At 39.8% G+C, this 6,000-nt stretch overlaps 1 annotated feature.

Annotated features, from left to right (window-relative positions):
- Positions 2,054–2,153: a silencer, noted in NCBI's record as "silent region_16562". NCBI's record gives its function as "represses an Ori minimal core promoter by ATAC-STARR-seq in GM12878 lymphoblastoid cells {active_cell/tissue: GM12878}" and the evidence as "EXISTENCE:reporter gene assay evidence [ECO:0000049][PMID:35858748]".

Here is a 6,000-nt window from a genome sequence, read left to right as displayed (position 1 = left end):
CAGCCATTAACCTAAAACTAGGCAGTCGAGACCTACAGGTCTTCGAGCTGTTCTCTGGCTAAGTGGAGCCAGCTGAAATTAAGTGCTTTATTGATTGCCATTTTAAACAATAATTTCAACTTTCATTTTAGATTCAGGGGTACATGTGCAGGTTTGTTACATGGGTATATTGCATGATGCTGAGGTTTGGGATGTGAATGATCCCATTACCCGGGTAGTAAGCATGGTATCCAATAGCTTTTTTTTCAACCCTTGCCCCACCGCTTCCCCCTCTAGTAGTCCCCGTTGTCTATTGTTTCCATATTTATGTCCATATGCACTCAATGTTTAGCTCCCACTTATTTATGAGAACATGCAGTATTTGGTTTTCTGTTCCTGTGTTAATTTGCTTAGGATAATGGCCTCCAGCTGCATCCATGTTGCTGCAAAGAACATTATTTCATTCTTTTTTATAGCTGCATAGTATTTCATGGTGTATATGGACCACATTATCTTTATCCAATTTACCACTGGTGGGCACCTAGGTTAGTTGATTCCATGTCTTTGCTATTGTGAATAGCACCGCAATGAACATGTGAGTGTATGTGTCTTTTTGGTAGAATGATTTATTTTCTTTTGGATATATACCCAGTAATGGAATTGCTGGGTTGATGGTAGTTCTATTTAAGTCCTTTGAGAAATCTCCAAACTGCTTTCCACGGTGGCTGAGCTAATTTACATTCCCACCAGCAATGTATAAGCATTCCGTTTTCTCCACAGCCTTGCCAGCATCTGTTGTTTTCTGACTTTTTAATAATAGCCATTCTGACTAGAGTGTGGTATCTCATCGTAGTTTTGATTTGCATTTCTCTGATGATTAGGGATGTTGAGCTGATTGCCATTTTCAATTGGGTAGTATATTGCTGGGTTTTTCCTGAATGCTTTTGCCTCTGCAGTTTATTTAGGGGTTTAGGTGGAGATCTGTCCTTTGTAACAAACATAGGGGTGGAGTTCATATATAAGATTTTTTCCTTTCACAATCCTTATTCTAAATGGGTCTGTTTATACAAGTTTCTTGATCTGTTTAAAGATCACACCCCCACTCTTCCCGTTTTATCCACATCCTTCTCCTGCTTCAACCAGATCAACCCAAAGTTGACTGAGCTAAGTGAAAAACAGGAATTTTCATATTGGTATGCAGGGGTATATCAGATACATAAACTTGCTGGCAGCCTTAGTATTCACAGCCTTGCAGACTCACCACTTCAGACTTTTAATCTGGTTCCCTTTTCAGGATTTGTCCATGACCTTGAGGAAGTCAATTTCCTCTTTCTGGACCTTAGTAGCCCTAGCTATAAAATGAAATGGTGACCCTATCTGCAGGGCAAGATGGTTTCTAAAGTATCCCCTAGGTTTCTGATTCTGGAATTACCTCCTCCTCTCCTTAGCAATCTGGTGATGAGAGGGTCACCTTTAAGTGTGGATTCCAAACTTTGAGGTGGCTGCAAAACAGTTACATGATATGTGGGTCCCAATGCAAAACGAAAATGTGAGACCCTCTTCTCCAAAAATTATTAAGAATTGCAAAATGGCAATACCAGAGCATTAAATCAAGTGTGAGGCTCTCCTGAGAATGATGCCCTGTGCAACTGCCTGGGTTGTACTTCTGGGAAGCCAGCCCTGGGTGCCTGAGCTGATCAGATGTGATACAGAGATAGGTGTTAACCAGCTGCACTCATGTTCCTCCTCCAAATTCTGCATTGTGTTTCCACCATGTTTTGCAGGGATATCAAAATCAAATGCCAGCAAAATAAATGAGTGATGTAGGTTAGGGTTAGTGAAAAAAAAAAGGAGCAACTGATATTGAGCTTTAAGCAATTGTCACCACGGGAGAATTTAGACTTACTATTGTCTGACTTTCTAATTTTTCATAAGAGCCACAATCAGGAATTTTTTTTCTCTGATTTTTGAACATTTGGCAACTGTTCAGAAAAAATATCCAAAATTTGGAAATGAGGCAAAAGAATGACTGCAGTTTCTTTCATTCAGTGGCATCTAAGATCAGTGGTTCTCAAAGGGTTTTCCCTGGTAAATAGCATCTGCATCAACTGAGAACAAATCATCAGTCTGCCCCAGATGTACTAAATCAGAAACTCTGAGGTTGGAGATCAGCATTCTGTGTTGTAATGAGCCCTTCAGGGAATTTTGCTTTAAGCTTAGGTTTGAGAATCACTGCCCTTAACCACTCACTGTCTTTTCTGTTCAGGGCATTGTCTAACTCCAGGGAAACACAAGATTGTTTCACCTGCTGTTTACTGTTTGTGATTAATTAGGGGTCTGACATTTTATAACTCTGTAAAGTTGGATGTTAAATTACAGAAAACGAATAAATTGTCAATGATTTTTTTTTTTTTTTGTCCAGTAAAGCTGTAAACGATTATCGTCTGGTAGAGAAGATAACCCCAAAGAATGTAGTTTTATTGCCCTGTAGGTTATTAACCAGTTTGGATCTCAATCTTATTTTAGAGTTCCTTTTGTCTAGTTTTTCCTGTCCTTTTTTGAACCACCTTGGTGATCTTGCTGGTTCTCTGATTAGTTAATTAAAACCTGGAAAATGCTCACTATGTATTTTTATGATAATTAAATTTTTAACATTTTGAAAATATTTTGGACACAACTACAATCCAAATTATTTTTACAACACTGTGTTGGCCCACAGGTCACCAGCTCATGACCTCTCACAAAGAGGATTCCAGCTGCCTTATTATCCATACAGAAAACATCCTTGACCATTTGCTCCTATTATTCTTAATTTCACCTCCCGCTCTCTCCCTCTTGTCACATGAGGCCATTTGCCTTTCCCCAAACACTAAACACTTCCCATCTCTGTACTTTTGTTCATATGCACTTTTCTGCTTCAAGGCTCAACTTCAAAACCCCTCCTTCATGAAGCCTCCTACGATCCTTGTTTATATCCAATCTCTCTTTTTCTGGGCTTTTCCAATCCTTAGCTTCCGTTCCAGGAAAACACTTGTTTTCTCTTACCATATGTAAAATCAAGTTTGGACTGTCTCCTAGCAATGCTTTTCAGACTTTAAGTAGCAGCCAAATCACCTTGGGTTTTTTTTTTTTTTTTTTTTTTGGATCTTATTAAAATGCAGCTTCTGATTCAAGAGGTCTGGGTGGGAACTGACAGTCTGCATTTCTAATAGGCTCCAGGTTCTGCTGATGCTGCTGGTCTGTGGACCACACTTGGGCTAGTGAGGCTCTAGAAGGCAGGGGCTCTTACCCAGGAACCTCTGTTTCCAGGGCAAGTCATAGCGCTTTGCATAGAGCTGAATGAAAAATTCATGGACCCAGATGTCCTTTGGGTGTGGCTATAAATGCAAAAGGTTGTTGCTCTGAAATCTGTATCCCCACGTCATCTCCGTGGGAGAAAACTCCCATGCTAGGGTTCTATCTTTTTTTCCTCCTTTTCCCTCTTGGAATTGTGTCCTGGCTGTGTGACCTTGGGGAAGTTGTTTACCCCTAAAATGCCAATTTTCTCTTCTGTGAAATGGGATCCTAACACCCAGTTCACATGGCTTTTTGAATGGATCAAAGAAGATAATGGAGTGAAATGTCTGCAAAAGGTTGGTGTAACCTCTAAATCCCACCAGGGCTTTATCTAGAAAGGGGAAAAAGCACCTAGGGAAGGGTGGCTGCTAGCTGAGGAGGGGAAACAGCTGCAGGAAGCTGGCTCCTATGATACATTTTGCATCATTATCTATTAAAAATATTTGACTTCCGGTTTCTAGTCCTGCATGAAAGGAGCTTAGAAGTCACCACTCGGTCGTAACAACAAGTAAAAAGCTTGATGAACTGAAAAATCAGCTCTTCTCATGTCCAGTGGAGAAGTGAGGTTATATGGCAAGCTGCTGCCCACAAAATTGGAGAAACAGATAGATACAGAGTATCATAACATCAGAGCAGAAACCCACCAGCAGGAACCTCCTGGGAGGTGCTGGGGGAAGAAAACTGGAACTGTAATTGACAAACTGCTAAAGACTCCGCTAATTTTTGTTATTTTTAGCAGAGACAGGGCTTTACCATGTTGGCCAGGCTGGTCTTAACTCCTGACCTTAGATGATCCATCTGCCTTGGCCTCCCAAAGTGCTGGGATTACAGGCATGAGCCACCATGCCCAACCAACTGAAAAACATTTTAAATATGATTAATATGCTGAGGGCTTTAATGGAAAAAGAGACAACATGCAAGAACAGATAGATAATGTAAACAGAGAGGAGGGAATTCTAAGAATTAAAAAGAAATGTTAGAGATTAAAATCACTGTTACAGAAATGAAGAATCTATGATGGGCTCATGAGTAGACTGAACATGGCTAAGAAAAAAACCTCTGAGCCTGAGGATGTGAGAATAGAAATTTGCAAAACTGAATAACAAAGAGAAGAAAAGACTGAAAAAATAAAACAGAATACCCAGTAATTGTGAGACAAGTACAAAAGGTACAGATACACACAATGAAAATACCAGAAGGAGAAGAAAAAGAGAAAGGAGCAGAAGCAATAGTGAATTTCCCTAGATTAATGCCAGACACCAAACCACAGATCCAAAAAGCTCAGAGAACACCAGGCAGGATATATGCCAAGTAAACAAACAAACAAACAAAAAACAGGGACACCTAGTCACACACGAGGAATATGTTAAAATGAACAAACAAACGAAAAACTACACCTAGTCATATCATAATAAAACTTCTGAAAATCAAACACAAAGGCAAAATCTTGAAAGAAACCAGGGGGAAAAAAACACCTTATTTAAGGAAGAGCAAAAAATTGGAGCTAGCTTTTCAGAAACCATACAAGCAAGAAGAGAATTGAGTGTAATATTTAAAGTGTTAAGAGAAAATCCCACCAATCCAGAATTCTGTACACCATGGTACAGAATTCTTCAAAAACAAAGGAGAGGCCGAGCACAGTGGCTCACGCCTGTAATCCCAGCACTTTGGGAGGCCGAGGTGGGTGGATTACCTGAGGTCATGAGTTCAAGATCAGCCTTGCCAAAGTGGTGAAACAGCATCTCTACTAAAAAAAAAAAAAAAAATTACCCAGGAGTGGTGGTGCACACCTGTAATCCCAGCTACCTGGGAGGCTAAGGTGGGAGAATCTCTTGAACCTGGGGTGAAGAGGTTGCAGTGAGCTGAGATTGCACCATTGCACTTCAGCCTGGGCAACAGAGTGAGATTCTGTCTCAAAAAAAAAAAAAAAAAAAAAAAAAGCTAGGGAGAAATAAAGACTTTCTCAAACAAAAATGGAAGGAATTTGTTGCCAATAGTCTGCTTGCAAGCATTTTTTTTTTTTTTTTTTTTTTTTAGATGGAGTCTCGCTCAGCTGCCTAGGCTGGAGTGCAGTGGCGTGATCTCGGCTCACTGCAACATCCACCTCCCAGGTTCAAGTGATTCTCCTGCCTCCTGAGTAGCTGGGACTACACGCCCAGCTAATTTTTGTATTTTTAGTAGAGATGGGGTTTCACCATGTTGGCCAGGATGGTCTTGATCTCTTGACCTCATGATCCACCCGCCTGGGACTCTCAAAGTGCTGGGATTACAGGCGTGAGCTACCACGCCCAGCCAATAAATATTTTTTAAAAGTTCTTCAGGGAGAATGAAATTGATAAAGGGTCAGAAACTTAGGTTTACATAAAGAAAAAATGAGCAACAGAGAATAAATAAATGACAATAAAATGGAAACTTTTATTTTTCCTATTCTTAATTCTTCTAAGAGATAACATTGTGTTCAAAATAATAATAGCAACATATGTATTCAATTATAAATGTTTATATATACATGTACATGATTATCTGTCAGAGAAATGAATCACAGCAATAATACAAGGAATGGGAGGAATTAGGACTATTTTGTTATTATAAGGTATTCACACTACCCAGGAAGTGGTAGAGTGTTATTTGAAAGTGGACTTGGATTAGTTGTAAATGTATTTTCCAAACCCTAGGACAACTTGA

Source organism: Homo sapiens, chromosome 5 (assembly GCF_000001405.40).
Source record: "Homo sapiens chromosome 5, GRCh38.p14 Primary Assembly".
In the NCBI taxonomy this organism is placed as follows: domain Eukaryota; kingdom Metazoa; phylum Chordata; class Mammalia; order Primates; family Hominidae; genus Homo; species Homo sapiens.
This window is presented reverse-complemented; position numbering and strand designations above follow the sequence as displayed.